This window comes from Homo sapiens, chromosome 14, assembly GCF_000001405.40.
Source record: "Homo sapiens chromosome 14, GRCh38.p14 Primary Assembly".
Lineage (NCBI taxonomy): Eukaryota > Metazoa > Chordata > Mammalia > Primates > Hominidae > Homo > Homo sapiens.
In genome coordinates this window covers 90,542,936-90,563,984 of record NC_000014.9, presented here as the reverse complement: position 1 = coordinate 90,563,984, position 21,049 = coordinate 90,542,936, and the positions used below count along the sequence as shown (strand labels likewise).

General features: G+C 53.7%; 1 protein-coding gene across 3 annotated transcripts in view, besides 2 other annotated features; it reads left to right on the top strand.

Annotated features, from left to right (window-relative positions):
- Nucleotides 1–21,049, top strand: part of TTC7B (tetratricopeptide repeat domain 7B) — a 291,867-nt gene that overhangs the window by 252,446 nt on the left and 18,372 nt on the right. The gene's annotated exons all lie outside the window — the stretch shown is intronic.
- Nucleotides 9,619–9,781: a silencer, noted in NCBI's record as "fragment chr14:91020548-91020710 (GRCh37/hg19 assembly coordinates)". NCBI's record gives its function as "represses an EF-1alpha promoter that drives an FKBP-Casp9 reporter gene in an ReSE screen in K562 erythroleukemia cells {active_cell/tissue: K562}" and the evidence as "EXISTENCE:reporter gene assay evidence [ECO:0000049][PMID:32094911]".
- Nucleotides 17,407–17,948: an enhancer, noted in NCBI's record as "H3K4me1 hESC enhancer chr14:91012381-91012922 (GRCh37/hg19 assembly coordinates)". NCBI's record gives its function as "activates a minimal SCP1, AML or CMV promoter by ChIP-STARR-seq in naive and primed H9 embryonic stem cells {active_cell/tissue: H9 hESC(naive and primed)}" and the evidence as "EXISTENCE:reporter gene assay evidence [ECO:0000049][PMID:30033119]".

Below are 21,049 nucleotides of genomic sequence, written 5' to 3'. Positions count from 1 at the left end.
GATGACTTTGAGGGGGTCAAGACTTTGTTGGAGGAAACAACAGCAGACGTGGTGGGAATAGCAAGAGAGCAAGAATGGAGCCCGGAGATGTGACTGAATTACTGCAGTCTCATAAAACTTGAATGGATAAGGCATTGCTTCTTGTGGATGAGGCAACAAAGTGTTTTTGTGAGATGGAATCTACTCCTGGTGAAGACATTGTGAACATTGTTGAATTTAGAATATTATATCAGCTTGATTGATAATGCAGCAGCAGGGTTAGAGAGGATGGACTCCAACTTTGAAAGAAGTTCTGCTGTAGGTAAAATGCTATTAAGCAGAATCACATGCTACAGAGAGCTCTTTTGTCCAAGGAAGGGTCCATCAGTGAGTCTTATTGTACCCACTGTTGTCTTATTGTAGGAAACTGCCCCAGGGCCTCACCTTCCAGCATCCACCACCCTGATCAGTCAGCAGCCATCAACATGGAGGCCAGACCATCCACCAGCAAAAAGCGTATCACTTGCTGAGGGTCACATGATTGTTAACATTTTTTAGCAACAAGATGTTTTGTAATTAAGTTATGCACTTGTTTTAGGTATAATGGTATTACACACTTAATAGACACACTGTAGTGTAAACACACCTTTTAGGTGCACTGGGACACCAAAAAGTTCCTGGGACTTGCTCGATTGTGACATTTGATTGATTACAGTGGCCTGGAGCTGCACCTGTGGTAGCTCCGAGACATGCCTGTGTCCTTCGAGCTTTACCTTTAAGCATCACGTTTACTCAGTCACCAGTTATTGATTCAGCATAGCAGCCTCCTAGGATTGTTGGAGGGATTAAATGGGATGATACATGTAAGATAATGTAGTTTGAGTCCAATACTGGACTAGGACCTGAGGATGTTAACATGACTCTATCCTAGTCCCTCCCCTCTGGTACTGAAAGGCTATAGGGAGAGATGTTAACATATACAAGTGAGGATAAGGGTTGTCAAGGAGACTCTGATAGACAGATGTGCAGGGTATGGTGCGGCAGGGGTTGGGGGAGGGAGGTGCGGGTCTGTGCTCGTGGTTTGTGGGCCAAGTGCTGGCAGCCGAGTAGAGGCGCAGACTCTCCCACAAGTGGGAAGACAGGTGGAGTTGACATAGGCAATAAGCCAGCTTTTGGAGGTGGCTTATGCATGGGACATTCGGGCAAGTTTGAGTGTGGAAAGGCTAGTGGATGATGGAATGGAGGTACTGTTCATTTTGTTAGGTGGGATATGGTTACATGGTTATATAAGGAAATGTCCTTATTTTTTAGAGATTCATCCTGAAGTATTTAGGGGTAAAATGTCACAGTGCCTGCAATTTACTTTAAAATACTAGCCTTTGCCTCCAACAGATGAAGCAGATACAGAAAAGATGAATGGTTGTTAAATGTAGGTGGTAGGTCTAGAGATGTCCATTTTGTTAGCTGCTTTTCTGCAGGTTGGAACTTTTTCAAGATACAGTTTAAACAAGTGAGTGAATGTGATTAGGTCTGCATTTTAGAGAGATTGCACTGGAAGCTGTGGAGGATAGGTTAGGTGAAAAGTAAGAGACACTAAGGTCTGGACTCAGCTTGTCATAACACGTTGACAGTCCAAGGTGGGAGTATTGAAAAGGGAGACTTCACAAGGGTTGGTGAGGGAACCAGAGGGTTTGAGGCTGACTCAGGCACATGGTTCAGGAGCCTGGTTGGGTAAGATGCCTTCACGAACATGAGGGGACACAGAGGGAGGGGAAGGTACTGAACGAAGGGTGATGGCAAGTCTGGTTGGCTGTGTGGAGGTGGGCTGACCGGGGTTTTTCCTGGAAAGGTTGCCTCTTCCAGCCAGGGTAGGTCTGGAGGTTGGGGCATGGCCGGGCTGGGGCGATGGTTTTGGGGGCAGCAGCAGCTGGTACATGGTACCCGAAGCTATGGGAGGAGACAAGACTGCCTGAGATATAAATTCCAGAGAGCAGGAAAGAGAAAGGGCCTAGGACAGAACCCAAGGAGCACCCACGTTTGGGGAGCAGGAGGGAAATGAGGCTCCTGAGGACAGGTAGGTTCTGATGTTCATACGTTTTTTCAGTCCACCTTGCTAATCCCAGCTATAGCAAGCATTTGGGGCTGGCTTTGCCAGACTCGCCAACCCTCCTGTTTCCACAGCCCCAGTCTGCTCTCAGCTTAGGGCTGTAGCCAGCCCTCTTCCCTGCCATGGTTTATATGATGTCCACCAAGCCACCGTGCACAGGAAGGGTCTCAGCAAAATCACTCTTGGATAAGTGTCAGGAGCAGAAGTGGCTTGAATTAGAAACGGCTTCCACAGGGAGGAGCTGGGGCCCTTGGGCAAGTCATGTCGATTCTCTGGGCCTCAGTTTTTCTTTCTGTATGTGGGGACGATGGTGTTCATCCCACCGGGCTGTGGGAAAATTAGATGTGATCACATGTGTGAGCCAGAGAGACTTCAGTGGTGTCTAACAACAAATGCCGCACCTTGGTTCTCAGGAGAAATGTGAAGCGTCCCCTCTTTATGCCTGTTTGAAACCTGATTCTCTTGCCAGGTGTCCATCCCTCAGGGGACAGTGGGTGACCCCAAGCCCATAACAACAGTGACTGCTCCTGAAGGGAATCTTGGACATGCACACACACGTGCACACATGTACAGTATGCCTGGGGTCCACCCTTGCCAGTTCAGTCTTGATTAGATCCAGTTGAATGCTGGCCAGTGACCTTCTGAGTGAAGCAGAAGCTGCCGGCCCAGCCCCTCGGGGGAGCCAGTGAGATGTGATGCCGCGTCTTTCTTCATAAACAGAGGAGCGGAGCATGCCCACTGCAGGATCAGTGTCCCTGCAGGTTCTCTCTCATTCTCTACATCAGGGCACCCCGCACCACACAGATGCATGGGGCCAGAACCAAAGCGCAAGTGAGCGATCCCTGCGGGGATCTCCCAGAACAAACTAGAAGCAAAATCTGCCTCTTCCTGAGGACAACATGCATTTTTCCAGGCCTTTCAAAGCAAGGCAGGTCAATTGAGTTATAATTGGCTCTCTAATTAGAACTGCCACAAGCTGTTAAATTCTTTACCTGCTGCCTGATATATTACACAAAGGTGACAAATCTGCTTCTGCCTTTGCAATGATCAAAGAAAGCCAGCTAGAATCTCACCTTCCTTGCCGCCAGCAGCCCCCACCAGCTACCCTTACTGCCACTCAGACGCCCACACACCCACCAGCAAGTATGACATGGACACAGCCCAGTTTACAAGGAAATTGGCTGTAGGGAAATCAAGCTCAGAAGGCTGTGTTGCTGAGCCACCGTTTGGAGCCTGAATGGGAGGAGACAGAGCCTTCTCATTTTTCTAGATGTGGGAAGTGTTCTGAGGATGTTTCAATGATGCTTTGAGCCTCTCCTCGTTCCATTGTTCTGTGATAGAAGAAAATGTATCTCCTTTCCCTTTCTGAATCCTCAACACTGAAAAGGATAGTATTTTTGTGTTGCTCCCCTCAACCATCAAGACGACAGTGTGCTTTGGATGATGGGATCAGTGTGTTTTGTGACATCCAGTGTCACCTGTGTCTTCTGTGTTGTCTCTGCTCTAGTGCCAGTGCCTCTTGCAGGTCCTGCTGGTTCACACTTGCATGCAGTGCAGCTGATGCCAGTATGTCCCTTCCTCTCACCTCTCCCTGGCTCCACCCACAATGACATCACCTCGGTAGCTTGGAATCGGCCATGGTGGAAGTGTTTATACCACGGAAATTGGCAGGCGCCACAAATCAAGGCCTTTTTCTCTTTCAGAGAGGCAGTTTGCTGACACCACTGGACTCAGATGGTTTGAACTGTGATGGGGGAAAGGCAGGCACAGGAGACGGGAGCAGAGTCAGGAGAGCACCGGACATTGGCAGAGAAGAACGGTGCCAAATGGCCCTAACCCGGGGCTCCTGGGGCACATGGCGCTTGTGGCACAGATCTGATGGAGGTTCTCTGCCATTCCAGAGGGACAGGGGCCAAGGGGGAAGGAACGAGCCCTGGAATTGCCCAGGATGGTGGCAGGAAGGGTAGCACGGTGGGGGAGCGCGCGTTGTGGAGCAAAAGAGCCCCTTGTTTGAATTCTAGCTCTGCCATACACTGGCAGTTTGTAGGACCTTGGCCATGTGGCCGTGTGATTTAACCTCTGTAATACAGAAGTGAATTCCAACCTAGCAGCACTGTCATACAGGTTCAACACGGTTCTTAGCACCTGCCCAGCATATAGGATGTACCCGGCAGCTGTTAGTCTTCTGTGCCTTCCCTTCTCCCAAAACAGAGTGGCTGTGAGAATCGTGTGTGTTGTGAGAATCGTGTGTGTTGTGAGAATTGTGTGTGTAGCACAGAGGCTCCCACCACGAGTCCATGTAGGGTGGGCTTTAGGGCCTCGTAACAGATCTGCCTCTTCCCCGTTCTCTAGAGAAGGAAAGGGCCTACTTTTCCACCTAGTGTCCCAATCTGAGAGCCAAGGGGTGCCCAGATGGGTTGCAGGGAGGCTGATCTCCTCAGCTCCTGAGAAGCCAGAGCTGCCCCGCCAGTGCCCTCTGGCTGTAAGCAGCCACCTCTGTGGCCCCCTGGGCACAGAACCGCCACTGCATTCGCAAAGACTCCTGCGAGCACTGCAGAAGCAATATGTGCTGTTGCTTTTACTCTTCCAATTCCCTGGTCTCCCTCCAAGTCATTGTTTAGCCCCTGCCCCTGGACCCATTCTGTGAACCCCTGCAAGGGCTTCTGGCTTCTGAGGAGACTTGGAGATGCTCCTTGTTAACTGACCCATACATGGCAGGTGGCCGGGTGGATCCTCCAAGCTCCGCGTTTGCCCGGCCTGGGTAAGCGGTCACATCACTGTGCCCTGCCCGTCACAGCTGACTGGAGGTTTTGAGGAAATGGCTCTATTCTTGATACTGAATTATTCCATATTGAAGTGGTAACTGATAAGAGCTCAGTTGTGTGAAGAAAGAAGGTGCCAGGCTGGGTCTCTGCCGTCACCCAAGCATCATTTCCGCGCCCCTATGCAGTTTCCAGGCGGCAGTTGCTCCCCTACAGTGTTCCCTGCCTGTCTGCTGTCACCTCTGCTCCAGCCCTGGGCCTGAGTTTGGGGCCAAGCCCTGGGGGCCCTGGGGAGAAAGTTTGTAAAAAACTCCAGGAGTGAAGGTCCCCATTTCTGGCAAGCCGCCCGTTTCTGTTTTCCTTGCTAACCAGTGTTTGTCGGCGCTAATGCACTAGAATCGCCCTGCAGTGTGAACAGAGGCCGGCAGGGCAGAGGAGCGCTGGCCGGGGAGACCCCGCCCTTTGGGGCTGTGAATTCTCTTGTTATTTGTGGAAAAAAATTTTCCAAGGCCTATCAGTTCCAGGCCTCCCTTCATCAGAAGGTGTTTTATCATTTATGTTTGTTCCTATTTAAAAATGGAAAAATAGTGAATGCCAAACCCTGGCAGTGATGGGGGAAGCCACTCACCAAAATGACCGGACTCGCCGTGGCAGGTAGTGAACTATCCGGCCTTTGTGTCACACAGCGGTGTGGAAAAAACACTTCCTCTCCAGCTGCTGCAGAGCAGCGCCCGGGGTGGGCTTGGTGGGCGCAGCCCTAAAGCAGAGCCCATCCTCTCAGCCCCCTGTGTGTTGAAGCTGGGACTTTGGCCTGGGGTCGTCCTGGCAGCTGTTTGTGTAGCCGGCACTCTCCATGGAGATCTAGACGGGGCTTACCTCCCCAGGTGGACTTCACGGCCAGGGTCTGGCAGCCTTGCTGAGGACCACCTGCCATCCCCCACCCAGGCAGCCATGCCAGGCCAGAGGGGCACCCTGGCACGGAGGCTGGCCTTCCCAAGTGGACCCTGGGCTGGACGGCAGGCGTGGCTGCAGCACAGCTGGGAAATAATACCCCTTCCATACTCATCTATCGAGTGCCGACGGTATACCAAGAATGTGCCGGGGACTGCAGTGACTTTTAGCCAAGGACCACTTATTGAGTGTCTACTGGGTCCTCAGGACCACACAGGTGTCAGGAGATGCAGCGATGAGCGCCTGTCTTCAGGAGCCTGGCAGCTCTTCTCCTCTGCACCATTGGTATTTTTGAGCTTTCCAGAGTTTCCTGTAAATCCAGTCGCCTTCCAGAACTCCCCACTAGCCCATCGTCTGTCACCACTCCACTCCGCTGCCTGCCTTTAGAGAGTCAGGGAGAAAGTTGGGCTGCACTGCTCAGTGAGCCCGTGGTCCCCACACCCCAGGCAGCACCAGAGCAGGGGCGCTTCCCCCTCTCCCCCCGAGCATAGGCAGGGAATGGGGTTCCAGGGCTGCCATCTTGTTTGAGCTCAGTGTTGCTGCTGGAGGTGGAGACTCCAGCCAGGCCTCTGCTCCTGCAGGCTGAGTTGCCAAGGACCCTCCTCCAGGAAGCCCTCCCTGGCTGCGTTGGCTGCTGCCACTCAAGTCCTAGAAGAACAGATACACACTAAGGATATAGTAGGTGCTCCAACAAATATTCCTTGGGTGGAAGATTTCATCAAACCCCAGAATTTTCAGCTGGAGATCAAACCCTAGAATTTGCTGCTTCATTTTCTTGATTAGAACACTGAGGCTGAGAGAGAAGCCTCTGCCTAAGTGGCAGTTGATGGAGGTCACACAGCAGGGGTGGGAGCGTGGCCCTCTGCCCCACGTGACTTCTCCCAGCCCTGCTCTCCTGCAGGGGGAGCATACCTTCAGCCCTCTCGCTGAGATAACTGGGGACAGGCCTTTGCTGCCAGTGTTCAGTGATAAAAGATCAGCCCTGAGTACAGTGAGGCCCTCGCAAAGGGATGAGCCCCGCCCCACCCCACCTGAGGACAGGTAGAAGCAGAGGGCAGATGGGGCTCTGTCAGGGTCTTTGGGAAAGAGTGGGGTCAGAGTTTCTAGGACCCCCTGTCTCAGGCCGTGGGGCTCCCAGGAAGCCTCCCCGTGCAGCACTGCAGTGGCCGCATGGGAATGGCTTTCTGACCATGGAGACCCTCCAACACTTCCAGGTCTGACGCTTCCCTCGCCAGAGCCCTGGGGTCATAGCCCTGCCCATGTCCCCCCCGTTCCCTGGCTTCTGGGGGAGCTCAGCCTCTGCCTGGGCCTGCTATTCTCCCCTGTGGAGGCAGTGGTCCCAGGACCCCAGGGGAAGCCTGTGCCTGCAGCAGGGCCAAGTTCCCTCAGAGTATCCCTGATGCCTGCATCTCCCTGGCCTGGCGCACATGGCCTGGGGCACAGTGCCACCTTCCCCAAAGTGCAGGGGCACTGGCTTCCCCAGAGGGCAGGAGGGGTCTTTAGGGGGTGATTAGCACTAAACTTTCCACCACGAGGATCAGTCGGGCCATGGGGGAGTGCCAGCTTCCAGGCTGCTCTGTGCTGTTGGTTTCTGCCTGACTTCTTGTTGGGGAAGATAGGTAAAAATAAATAAGTCAACCAGGGAAATGTAGAAATAAGTGAACAGGAGTCTCTTGCCCATTACCAGTGGAAAAGTACCAGCAAGAGGGGCTGTGTTAGCACCCACAGAAGACCCTGGCTGGCATGCAGCAGGCCCCCCAGCAGCAGGACCCAAGCTTCCCCCCTCCTATGAGCTGACAGCTACCGCCACGTTCCAGCCAGCCTCTGAGCTAAAACTCACTGCCTCAAAGCACGTGATTTAAACGGCAGATGGGGGAGGGGAGGCTGGAGACTCTGGAATGTTACCAAGGACTGCCCAGGCTTCAGGGTAGGGGGGATGCCTGGCATCCCCACATATTGCTGGGGACCCCAAGGCTTCCTCCTGTCTCCTCTCCGCCCCCACGGGGCCCCCACCCAGCCAGCGCTGCCGCCAGTGGACCTGTCCTTCCTTTCTCGCTGACTGTCCTTTGATGTTACGTGGGACTTGCTGGCCTGACACTTTCAATTAGGTCAGTGCACCACGCGGCGCGCCGGAGGTGCTTGCGCTGGCGCTCCTGTGAGTGTGTTTGCTGAATTTCTGAGTGCTGTGCCTTAGGCTGCAGCCGGCAGGGAGCTCATGTGGACCCCGGGGCACCGGGATTCCCCATCACCCTCCCCTGACGGGTCCCCGGTGACCCTACCAGCAGCAGCACCCAGGTGCATGGACACAAGTGTGACCAAGTTATTCCACTCCCAGGGCTAGGCAGAGGCAGCTCTCAGCTTGCCTTCGTGCTCTTTTCCAAGGAGAAGGCAGATGCCTCCCTTGGTCTCTCCAGAGCTGAAGTCAGAGAGGAGCTGAGAGATGACTGATGTTGAGGTCAAGTCATCCTTCTGTTCTCACAGCCATTTCTCCCTCTCTTTCCTGACTCGCAAAATCACCACACCATTAATCCCAAGGGCAAGGAAAAGGACTCTGGGTTAGGCGGCTGGGCTGGAGACACAGTCGGCAGAATGGCGCTGGTGCAGGTTGCAGGGAAGGGAGCCGTGCTGTCCCCATGCCATCCTGTCCTCCCAGCAGAATCCAGACTGTGAAGGGTCTGCTTTTTAGATTACCCTCCTGCACCCCTCAGCGTGCACGCGATAGGGCAGCCATTCTTCAGGTCACCCAGAGGGAGACATCCCCATCAAACACCCCCCCCTTCCCTAGGTCCTCTTATGTCACCTGGGTCCCAAGAGCCCGTGGTCTGGCTCACCCGGAATCTGGCAGCCGCCAGGTAGAGGAAGGGCCTGCAGTGCCAGGCAGACTGACAGAGAACAGCAGGGAAGTCGGCTGCGTCACTCTCATGTCCTCGGAGCTTCTCCCCCAGGTTGGTGTAGGGAGTGCTGAGCCGTGGGGTCCAGGGTCAGCTGACCATCAGGGAAGGACTGTTGGAATGTGTTTCCTGGTCCCTAAATGCCTGCTACCCTCTCTAGAGATCTCAGTAGTCTGCCATGGAGCAAAGAGACCTAAGCGGGTCTTCACAAAACCTAGGTTCTGACACCTGACGTCTACCTGGCTTGGTAACTGAACCAGGTACTTGCCCTCCTTCTCCTGACCTGGAGTGAGGTACCCTGTCACCACTACAACCTCCCAGGCAGGGCTGCCGAGAGCTAGGAGCCTGCGCCACATCATTCAGATGTGATCACTAAGAGTCGATCCACTCCAGGAAGAATGAGACCTCTGTTCACAGGAAGCTTTTGGAGCAGAAACATCAGATCCTATTTGAAGTTTCAGCTCCTTCTCTTCAGCTGTGTGGCCATGAACCAGCACCCTGACCCTGAGCTTCCGCCTTCTTCTTTGTTCAAAGTGGGGAGAGCATCATATTGTCTCTTTTGAAATGTCCTCCCTCATCCTCCTGCCAATAAGCCTTGCTCTGTGGCAGATGCTGGGACTACACACATGAATGACTGAGGCTCTGGGGCAGGACCCACAGCAAACCAGCCCCTCCAGTCCCGAGCCTTGAGCGAGGGCAAGAGCGTGGCTCGAGTGACAGCCTGTGCCACTGAGTTCCCCGCACCTGGCACAGCACCAGGACATTGGTGCCAGAACACCCACAGGCGCTCAACGAGTGTTTGTAGAGGGGAGGAAAGAACTAGAAATGGCTTTGGTTGGAGCAGAGTGAACAAAGCCCCACCCCCGGAACCCGAACACCCGGATGCTGTTCCTTACTCACGTCCGTGCTCTTGGCAGGACACTTACCCTCTCCGGGCTTCTGTTTGCCCTCCTGTCAAATAGGATGGCTGGTCCTTTGGGGAATGCTCTAATGCCCTGCTCACTGCAACCCCGACCACCCTCTGGACACCTGCCGCAGAGTGGGTGGGGGACTGTGGGGCTTTGGGGCTCAGAAGCTGCTGGCAGATGGGCTGCGGTCCGTCTCCGGATGTCCCACCGATTGCCAGCAACGGTTCTCTAAAAGCCACCACAGTCTGTGGATATGTCAGCACCAATGCTGAAGCACCCAGTTTCAAAGAAATTAGGCCAAGGGGAAATGGGGGGCCAAGTCTGTGAGATTCACGCAAGGCTGATCAAGCCCTTTGGCTTCTGGCCAGGCTGCCAGCACCCTAGGTGCTGGCGTTTACTGCCTGACAGCCCATTACTCTGCACTGCTAATTGCAGAATAAGCTCCTCCAGAATATTCCAGATCATCCTGGAAGAAAGCAGCTTTAAGAGATTCTGCCAGTCAGACGCTTTAAAAAGAAGACAAAAGTCAAAGCCGTGCTCATATTTTCCTGGGGCTTAACGGAGCCTTCATCTGGACCCACAGCCAGGTCTCCTTCGAGGAGCTATGTTAAGCAGCAGAATTCAGGGAGGTGGGGAGAGTGGGCGGGAGGTCTGAATCCGCCATGCCTCCAAGGCCCCAGAGAGGGAGCGTGCGCTGTTCTGGAAGCTTTCTTCCTATCCTGAAGGCCCATCAAGTGGAAAGAGAACGGGGCTTTTCCACGTGGTTCCAGAAGACTCAGAGAACTTCAAAGTGTGGGGATTCGATGAAAAGGACAATGAGGGCTCCACATTTAACCAACAGTTCAGACTGTCCTCTCATGGTGTGGGCTGCCCGGGGAAATCACAAGCTCCTGGTCCCTGGAGGGGGTGCTGCCCATGAGGGACAGCAGCAGGGGCTGTGCATCGGAGAGCCGAGGCCCAGGCATCCCCCAAACCCTGAGGAGTTCTGCTTCCATAGCTGGTTGGCAGTTGGCTTAGAAAAATAAGAGGTTTTTTTGAAAAAATGAGTATTTTTCCTTCTGAGTTGAGTTCAATGCTGGAAAGGCCTAAACCCCAGAAGGTGCATTTCTCCAGATAAAATGTCTGACCTGGAAAAGGGGCCCCATGATAGCGCAGCCCCTGCCGCCATCAGCTGTTCCGGGTGAGCAGAGGTGCTGCACCTGGGGCTGCCTCTGGCTGTGCTGCAGCCCTTGGTCCCCCCAGTGCTCTGAGAGGGCATGCTGGGGGTCTCCCCTGCTCCCTCCTGGAATACTCGGCACACTCCCTGAGGAAGAGCCCCCTGGGGGCATCTGGCCTGCGCCTAGACCACAGGCCCCGTCCCTGCCCCAGACAAAAGCATCACTCCCCTTCCTGAGGTTCTTTGGGCCTCAGTCTTTTCTCTGGGGCTCCACACCCCTATGTCTGACTGGGACTGGCTGCTGGTAACTGGGGGCGTTTGTTTGGCTAACTTGAAGGGAGTGAGGAAGCAGCCACCCCGTTTCGGTTCTGACATTTGAGCAGGGAGGTGGCAGCCATGGGGACTGGAGGAGATTTGCCTTCCGTGTTCGACCCCAGGCCCAAGGGAAAAGGTGTCCGGCCTGGGGGCCAGGCTCCCGCTCACATCTTCTGGAGCTCTCCTCCTTCATCTGAGCTGGCTTCTGTCAGAAGGACGCCCTTCTTAAGGCAGCATGTCCCCAGGAGCCACACTGCAGGTACCTTCCCTCCTCCTGCACTGCCCTTCTGTGTGGGTTCCTGGACCAGCACGTCAGCGGCCTTTGTGGATCTGGAGGTGAAGTGGCCACACGAATGTTCTATCCCCACCTGAGAGCCTGGGGGTGGGCAGGATTGGAGGCCACCTGGTGACAGCAGCAGCCATCATGTCACTGGGGAGAGGGCCTTGTGCAGGCTCCGGCCACCTGCTGTGTATGAGGCTTAGATGGGCACGGGCTGTCAGGAAGACCTAGGGTTGGCCTTTGGGGAAACTGGGTCAGTGCTGAGTAAAATGGGCCAGATGAGTAAACCAGCCCCACACCTGCCCCTGCCCAGAACTTGTGACCTGCTGACAGGAAGGTGGGCCTGCCTGGTGCCCAGAAGGTCCTTCAACTTGCTCTTGACTGGCCCGGTGAGGGGCTGAGTGAGTGGCAGCGTGTGAGTCCCACCCCACGGTGGAGCTCTGACGGGCAGAGGTGTGCAGGAGGTGTGGGGCTGTGGGGCTGGGGATGCCTCCCCTCAGCCAGAACACCAGGACCTGGCCCCTGTGGAGCTTCTGGCCTGGGGAGGCCAGCCTTCTGGCTGGTGTCATTAGCCAAGACACACACACTTGGCCCCCTGGCAAACTGGTGCCATTTCTAAGCACTGAGAACAAACAGAAATGAAACACAAAACAGAGCCCCATAGAGACCAGGCCTCGCCCAGAGCTTCTAGAATCCAGGTGGAAAAGCTGGCACAGCCCCCACCCCACCCACGCATGTTTTCAGTTCCTTTTCAAGGCATTGTTGGAAAGCGGGGTGGGGCTCAGGGCTGCCCCCTCAGCTGCACCCACAAAATGCTTGTACTCAAAACTGACAGTGCCTCTGACACTTGCCAGAGAAGAAAGGGCCGCCCGGGAGGAAAGGAGGCAGGGCAGCCCTCAGCTCTGTGTTCCTGAGCTGCTCCAAGGAAACCCTTTCAAAGCCAGTCTCCTGTGGGCTTCTCAGAGTGGTACTGGTTTGCAGTCTATTTATATTTTGATTTAAAAGAAAAATATTTTTGAAAACACTACCGCTGCCACCCTGCTTCCCTCTGATCAATGGCATCCTCTAGAAGGAAAATTCAAATTCCCGAGAAGTGGTGACTCACATGTGCTGGTGTTTCTCATTTCATGCCTACATTTCAGCGAATGCAGACGGCCAGACCAACTGTGCTGCAGCTTATGGGAAGGGGCTGGAGCTCTTGTGGGGTCCTCATTTTCCTCAGGTCAGGGAACCCACTCTTAGAGGCCTGGTGGGCTTCCAGAAAGCCTGGTCTACCATGGACATAGCCCCTGACAGGACAAGCAGAAAGCAGCTAGGGTCAAGGGCAGAGTTGGAACACTGTAATCGGAGTCTAAAACTTGGAGGCTGGCCCTGGGCCAGGCCCTGCACCAGGCTTTCCAGACTCAGCCCTTCAGGAGCCTGCTGTCTAGCCCCACTCTGTGTCCAGCAGGGTCAAGGCCTTCAGCAAGGCTGTTCTCCTCTCTGGCCCTCTGTTTTCTCCTCTGTAAGAGTGTTGGCTCTGCGGGTGGGTTCTGGGATTTTCTTAGAGAGCAGTGTCAGATCTGTGGTGTACGAGCAAATAGCCTGAGGGGAAGCCATACAGCCCACTGGGCTCAGCTGGGAGCAGGGCATCTTCTCCCAGGGGGTGCTCGCATCCCCCAGAGACCATCATGCTAATGCTCTGTAAGGAGAGGAGGCTCTGAGTATGCTGGCCTGACTTGGGAGCATAGACAAGGGTGACCTGAGGCCAGAGCTTTCTTTGGGACTTCTCCTTCCCTACTACCCCACAGCATCCCACACCATCCCTCCTCCATCCCTCCATCTATCCAGCAAGCATTCCCCAAGAGCCTCTTCTGTACCAGGCCCACTCCAGGTGCCGTACATGCAAAGACAAATCATGGTGGTCCTTGCTGTTAAAGAGGGAGATGGAGGTGAAGAGTCAGCCAACTACTGGCATCACGGAAGGGCCCCCCCTCCTCTCGGAGTCACTAATAGTGTCAACTGAGGAATCAGTAGGTTCATACATTTGCAGAAGAGACTTCATTTCTTACAAAGGATTGCAGCCTTCAGGGTGGCCATCTTGACTGGCTGGGAAATGTAGCCTCAGGCAGAGACCAAAAGCAAGCACTTTGAGAGAGGGGAGGGTGGAACAGGGATTTATGTGGAACTGGTTGGCCAAGTATACATATTCAACAGGTTATAGGAGGAGCTATGAATATTCACAAAAGGGGGATGTGTGCATGTGTGTGATAAGCAAATACGCAAATTACATGCATCCCATGTTCACTTTAGGGTGGAGACATAACATTTAGGTGCATTACAGTTCGGTCCTATACATCAACAGATGAGGCAGGGGCAGGAAGACACACAGTGCTCAGCCTCTTACTAAACCAGTCAGAACCAGCCTGTGGTTGGTGGTCTCTTGTCCCGTCAAAGCTGCAGTTGCAACCTGTGGAATGGGAGCTCAGTTAGGGTCTGGGGTAGGTGAGCTGCAATTGTTTCAATATTGCTTATCTCGAGGCCAGTGCTTGTTTAGCTGCTAGAGAAAAGAAAAACCTTGTGGCAGTTAGAAGGCGGTGTATTCTTTCAGGGATATGTGACTTAACCCTTGCCTGTCGTGGTCTTAGTTCTGGTTTATGATTTGGTATCTTATTGCACAGCGAGTCTGTTCCATCAGTCTTATGATCTCTAGTTTAACAATGGTAATGAGAACAGCCATAATCCTAATATTGCTGAGAGCTGCCACCCACTGAAGGCGTACAAATATGCTGGGCGATCTGCTAAGTGCCTTGCAAACTCTGACCTCATTTAGTCCTTACTAAACGAGTTAGTCCAACTAACTCCCCCGTTTGGTTAGTATTTCTCCCCCTTATGCAGATAAAGCATCTGACACTCAGAGTATGTTGTCCAAGTAAACGGTGGAGCTAGGATTCAAGCCCAGTCTGCTGGGGTGAGCCTAGGACTCACACCCCCAACCTCCACACTCCACTGTCCCAGAGAGCAACGTGCCCCTCCCCTGTGGCCAGCCAGGTCCCTCCATGCAGAAGCCACCAGCAGCAGCCAGGGCCTGTAGCACCTTTCAGGCCCCTCACCTACACCCTGAGCCCCCAGTGTGCCATCTGTGGCCAGCACAACTGCAGCTCTGGCCACAGCCAGCTCAGCAGCACTGTCATCTTCCCAAAGGGAGACAAAGGTGGGATGATGGGCTTTCCACCCCAGAAGCTGCCACCACAGTCCCTGACACCCCACCACGAGGAGGCTGTATGACTTTGTTCAAAAGTCGTGGTGGTGCCCGTTTGACTCAGGTGGCCCCAGCAGCTCAGGTGGGCGCTGAGCCGTGGGAAAAGCCACTGATCCTGGTCCTCAGCCCCCACCACCCTTGCCTTTGGGCCTCACTCCCTCTGGAGGAGAAGGGGTCCCACTCCACCAGTGAGGTTTGACCTCCACCAGCTGCAATGAGCGGTGGCTGACTTGCAGATGCTAAGAAAATCTTTTTTTTTTTTTTTTTGAGACGGAGTCTTGCTCTGTTGCCCAGGCTGTAGTGCGGTGGTGTGATTTCTGCTCACTGCAAGCTCCACCTCCTGGGTTCACACCATTCTCCTGCCTCAGCCTGCCAAGTAGCTGGGACTACAGGCGCCCGCCACCACGCCCAGCTAATTTTTTGTATTTTTTAGTAGAGACAGGGTTTCACCGTGTTAGCCAGGATGGTCTCGATCTCCTGACCTTGTGATCCACCCACCTCGGCCTCCCAAAGTGCTAGGATTACAGGCATGAGCCACTGCACCCAGCCGATGCTGAGAAAATCTTTCACCCTCTCCATGGCAAGCTGTGGTGGGTCAGAGCACAGGCCCTGGACCAGGCAGACAGACCCACGCTCAGTCTGTGGTAGCTTTAAACAGTATGCTGCTCTCATCAAGTTTCTGGGTCTGCTCATTTATTCATTCTGCCCCAAGTTACTGGCCACCTGCCCAGTGTCAGGCCTGGAGGTGCAGAGATGACCGGGGTTCACCCAGTCCCTGCCCTCCAGGCACTCACAGCAAAGCCTAGTGGGGGAACAGAGCTAGAGATAAGCCACCTCAATTAATGTGGCACCTGTCACACAAGATGGTGTCAAAAGCACTTTGCAGTCAGCAAAACATACACTACATTGATCATAATGGCTTGCACATGCACACTTAATAGAGCCTGGTGATCCATGAATTTGTCCTCCCAGGTTTACTTGTGTTTTTGGAGAGGCCACCTGACAACACTGCCTTAAGCCACCCATGCCCACCTCTACCCCCTGCAAAGGGTAATGGTGGAGTTTCTGACCCAGGAGCAGAACAGAAAGATCTTTAAGTGCTCCAGTACCATCCCTGACACTAGACTTCCTACCCATCAGTGGCCCTGGAGTGGCCCAGCAGGCTCTGCAGAATCCAGGCCGGCTGTGATGTGGTGAGGGACAGCTCACTGCTCTCTGCACTAACACTGCACTGCTGCTCAGAGAAGCTGAGAGCACTACCGGCAGGGGAGCCTGCCCATCAGCCATGCCCTGGCGTAGAGAGCACTTGGAGTGGTTCACCTCCATCCCTGCTGCTGAATGCTTGATTTCCAAAACATTATGCCTGGGGAAAAGCAATAACCAGGTAGACCAACTGACCCCCACCCAGAGCTGGGCCACAGGACTTCTTTTCAGCAATGGCTTCTCCTTGGGAAGGATGCTTTCAGGGACGTTATCTCCCTGTATCTGTACCGTTAGAGGGACAAGCAGTGGTCTGTGATGTGCTCTTGAACCCAGCAAAGGGCTAACTTGGCTTTTGTGCAGAGTGCCATGGGGATGTCCAAAATCTCCCAAAAGAGCTTTTTTTTTTTATCTCTGTCACCCAGGATGGAGTGCAGTGGCACAATGATAGTTCACTGCAACCTCCGCCTCCCAGGCTCAAGCAATCCTCCCACCTCAGCCTCCCAAGTAGCTGGGATCACAATGTGCGCCAGCACACCCAGCTAACTTTTGTATTTTTTTAGTGGCGACGGAGTTTCACCATGTTGCCCAGGTCGGTCTCGAACTCCCAGGCTCAAGCGATCCATCTGCCTCAGCCTCCAAAACTGCTGGGATTACAGGCGTGAGCCACAGTGTCCAGCCTCCAAAGTGGCTTCTGTCCTGCAGGCTTCTGCCTCAGAGGATAGTGCAGGCCGGCCCTGCTGAGGGCCTCCTACACCAAGGCTGCAGCAGGAAACCTTGCACACAGGAGCCTTCCGGGGCTCTGGCACAGGCGCCCTTGAGGTCTGGCAAGGTGTTTAGCCCCTGGGCAGCAATTAAAGGCAAAAGCGAGGAAGATGCTAATTGCTCTGAAACTGGCCAAGTCCATTTTATCTCATTTGAAATAACAGGTTTAATTTAATCTCTTATTGCCAATTTGGTGCATCATCAAGATCCTATTTGTACAAAACACCTGATTATGATAATTACCAGCTTGGGAGGCAGCCTTCATCTATGTCTGAAGAAAGGGACTAATAAGTTACTTCCTCAGTGATTTCCCAGCTCTCTGAAGCTCAGCCCCAGCCGGCTCCCAACCCATAGTGGCTGCAGGAACACCAGTGCTGGGGAAGGTGGAAGTCTGTGTGCGCATCCTCTCCACACACAGGGGAGGGGAGAGGGCCCAGTATCAAGGGCACACGCAGCACAGCTGCAGGCCTCAGCTCTGCCGCTAGCTACCTGTAGGCGGGTCATCTGGTCTGTGAAACTCAAGCCCCAGCAGCGCTGGCTCCTGGAGGTGAGAGAGGATGGAATGAGACCTTAATGCTTAGCGCTGTTGGTGATTTGCACTGGACCCCGAGCTCTTTGAGAGCAGGCCTGCGCTTACCCACTCTATCCAGCACCAAGCAATCACTCGGTGGGTTTTGTTGGGTTTGATATGGGGGCAGGGAGTGGCAGGTTATATGGTAATATATGGTAATATGTCATCATTGGAATCTGCCTCCTGCAGGCTGATGGCTGGGAGCAGGAGCTGCGTGCTGCTGGGCAGCGCTGCTGGTTGGGGGCAGTGTGGCTGCTTGGCTCTGCAGGGATGGGGTGCATTATGGCCTCAGGCAGATGGACAAGGGCTCTAGCAGGAAGGCCCCAAGCTGACCGACAGCAGCTGGGAGGCAGGAGGGGGCTGGGGCTGCGTCCTGCAGAAACACGTTGGCTGACAGACAAGCCTGGCTGAACCCAGGGAAGGTTGGACGCAGCTGGTGCTGACAACAGCTCCATGCCAACCTCAGGAGTTAGGCCTTTGATCTCCGGAGGAGAGAGCAAGCCGGGCCCCTAGAATTGGAAAGGACATGAGGGCTGCAGTGCAGAAGAGCACATGGAGCCCAGGGAAGGGAAGGGAAGGGAAAGGAAGGAAGGTCCCTGGCCAGCACTGTGGGGCTTGGGTGGTGTGTCACTCCTGACAGCCAGACACAGCCAGGTCCCTGCCCACCTCTGGCCAGTCCTCTAGCTGTGCTGGCTCCAGGCAGTGGCTCTGACTGCAGCTGGAGCTTGTTCTGGTTGATCCCGTCATGGGCTGATTTCTGAGCTGCTCCTGGCTCACTGGGGAGAGGCCTATTTTTCATTCCTGTGCCAAGCCTGAGCTGGCAGCCCCTGGCAAGTCTGCGATGTCTCCCTAAGCAGCTCCAGCTTTAGGAATTAATTCCACTGAACAGATTGCTCAGGAAGCTTCAAGGTCATCTGAAAATGGCAGTTCCTACGTTAGGACTACAAGTCCAGGTATATGGGCTGGAAATTTCCAAGCCAGCAAGAACCCTAGAACACCAGAGCACTGCAGAGGCTCTTAGTGGCCAACACGGAGGGTGCTGGCTCAGATTAGCCCCTCGGGGTTGGTTCTCTGCAGGACTTTTGAGGGCAGTTAGACATGCCCCTGTCCCATACCCTGCAGCCCCCACAGTTGGCCAGATTTAGTGGCCTGCCACTTTCTAAACAAAAATCCCAGCAGGAAGGGACTGGTGGGTTCTCCCCACTCCAGCAGGGTGCCGAGACCAGAGCCCTCTGCATCCCACTGGGCCAAGGCCCTGGTCCTCCTGGTCTCCACATCTCACCCATCCACTTTCTGGCGGACAGAATGGCCCAGTCGGTTGGCTGTGGCAGCCTTCCCAAGCCTCAAGATCACAGCTGTCCTGAGGCAAGGAGCCCTCCAGTCCATGAGCAGATATACAGGATGCCTCTAAGACACAGATCTGAGCCAGAGGGAAGCTGTGCCTTGGAGAGGAGCAATTTCCCCATCATAACATGGGAAGGAGCAATAAAATCAGCAGTTAGTGGTCAGAGAAATGAAAGGGAAGACACAGCATGGCAGACGCCCCTTTCCTGTTGCTTGGATGTAACTGGGTTATTGCCTGAGTGCCCTGGGGCCCGCATTGAGAGAGCTCCACTGAGCTCTCCTCTGCTGGCCCGGGGCTTGCCTCTTAAAGCGACAGAGGCAATGTGGACCAGGTGGGAAGCATGGGCCACTTTAGGACCAAGCAGACCTGGGCAAGGCTGCAGCTCGATGTTGATTGGCCCTGGGACCTGGGGCAAGAACGTGGCCTTTCTGAACTGTGTCTTCTTGTATCTAAAGCAGTAGTAATAGGAGATGGGCTAGCTACAGTGCCTAGCGTGGTGCCCAGTGGGGAAAAACCCTCCACTTGGAGGAAGAAAACAGCACGGGGCTGATGCTACGGTGGCAGAGCCTAGTGGGACCTGAATTATATTCTCCACCTGCAACAAGTAAGCACAGTGGCTTACTGCTCATCACCTATTTGCCAGAAGCATGCAGCATGTGTCTCCCTGCTGGGAGAGCCACTCAGAAACCTGTTGTGTGTATTTAGTATCTTGATGCACCAAGAAAGCCATGCCAGGAAGGCGTGTGACGAGCTCCTGCCATAATCTCTCCAGGCTGCTGCTCAGGGCCGCTACCCAGAAACCTCCCTTCCCTCATAGTTACGTTGGAACGTTCTCGGGTGAGCACAGGTGATAACCTCCCCTCAAAGAAAGGGGGCAGGATCTCATTCAGCCTCGCGTCCTACTGAATGCAACCTGGGTAGGTGGCCTACCATTTGTTCTGCTGGCCTTTGAGGTTGGGAAGCGAGAATGTGGAGTTGTCAGATTCCCTCTTAAGGAGGTCCAAGGTGGTCCAGAGCACCATCCTGGGAGATGGACGTGATTATTTGCCACCCGCAGCTGGACTCCACACCCAGAAGCCCTTCAGGCAGGCACCAGGAGTCATGAGGTGTGGCTCTGCAGTGGCCAGCTACCCTCGGCTGTTTGGCCACCCCGGAACCTTCTCTGGCAGATGCCACCAAGGACCTGGTCATATGCAGGAACTCCAGCATGGACACATGTTTGGATATTCATAAGAAAAGAAACATCGGGTATTTCTGTTGTGTTCTTGAGAAGGTAGAGCTGACCCTGAAGCCTGCTGTTCCCAGACGGGGGAGGGCAGCCATCTCTACCTGAGGCAGCGTGGCCTCCGCCTCCTCCTCACCCAGGAGAGCTCCCTAAACTGCCTCTTCCTCCCAGAGCTGGGGGTCTCCTTCCTCCACCTTCCACTCTGAGCCTCCACAGGGGCCACACACTGCCCTCGGCCATGGGTCTCCTTGGCTGTCACCCCAACCACGTGCTCCTCCTGGGTGGACACCCCAGCTCCCCTGTTGGGGGCTTATGGAAGCCAGGTTGTCTCTCAGGCTCTTGGATGCCACTTCAAGGCAGGCACATTCCTGCCATCACACTGGCTGGTTCTGCTCCTGACAGCTACCCTGCTGCCCTCTTGCCTGTTGGTGAAGCTGGGGCCTGTGAGCAGGCTGGGTTGCCTCGTGAGTGACATGCTCACACTGCCTAAAGCGAGGGCAAGGCTTTATTGGGAGATTTAAGATGAGATTTGAAAGAGCAGAGGGCCATAACTCATTCCTCAGTGGGAAGACTAGACATTGTAAAGATGTCAGGCTTCTCCACACTCTCCAAGAGAGGTAATGCAAGTGCAATTTGACTTCTAAAGGGAATGAAGAAACTGATTTTGAAATTCATCGAAAATAGTACAGGGTAAGATTGTCAAGAAACATACTAAAAGCAAGGAGCAGTGAGGGAAAGCTCTGACTCTACCTATTAAAACATGATTTTGGGAGTAACAGAAATGAAAACTGTGGTGCTGATGCAGAAGTTTGATATTGTGGCTTGTTGGAAAATAGTGGAAGGCCCCTGATTCATGTAATAATTCACTCTAGGATGGAGGCAGTGCCTTACAAGAGTGAGGGGAGGGAGGATGAGCTAGTTTGTGTCTAGCAAAGTAGGAGGAATCCATCACTCTGCCAAGATAAAGTAGTCAACTACTTAAAAGAGGGAAAATTAAGATAAATGGAATTGAACATGTGTCAGCTCTTTGAAAGGATAACTTTCTAAGTTTTGAAGTGGCAAAAAAATCAAAGATCAATAAATTTAATTTTGCAACTTAAAACTTTTCAAAGAAAAGAATCTCAAAAGTCAAATAATAAGCTGGGAAATTATGGTAGCAGATGAATAGCAATCTTATGAAAGGCTCCTAAACAAAAGCATGGGAAATATTTAACCTCAATGGTTATTAAAGAAATATAGATTTCAACAAGGAGGGACATTCTGCATGTATGACATTAGCAGAAATAGAGTCATGATAGAAGGGGGTAGGTGACCAACCACAGAAACTGCTGATGGCTGAAAAAGTGAGGCAAC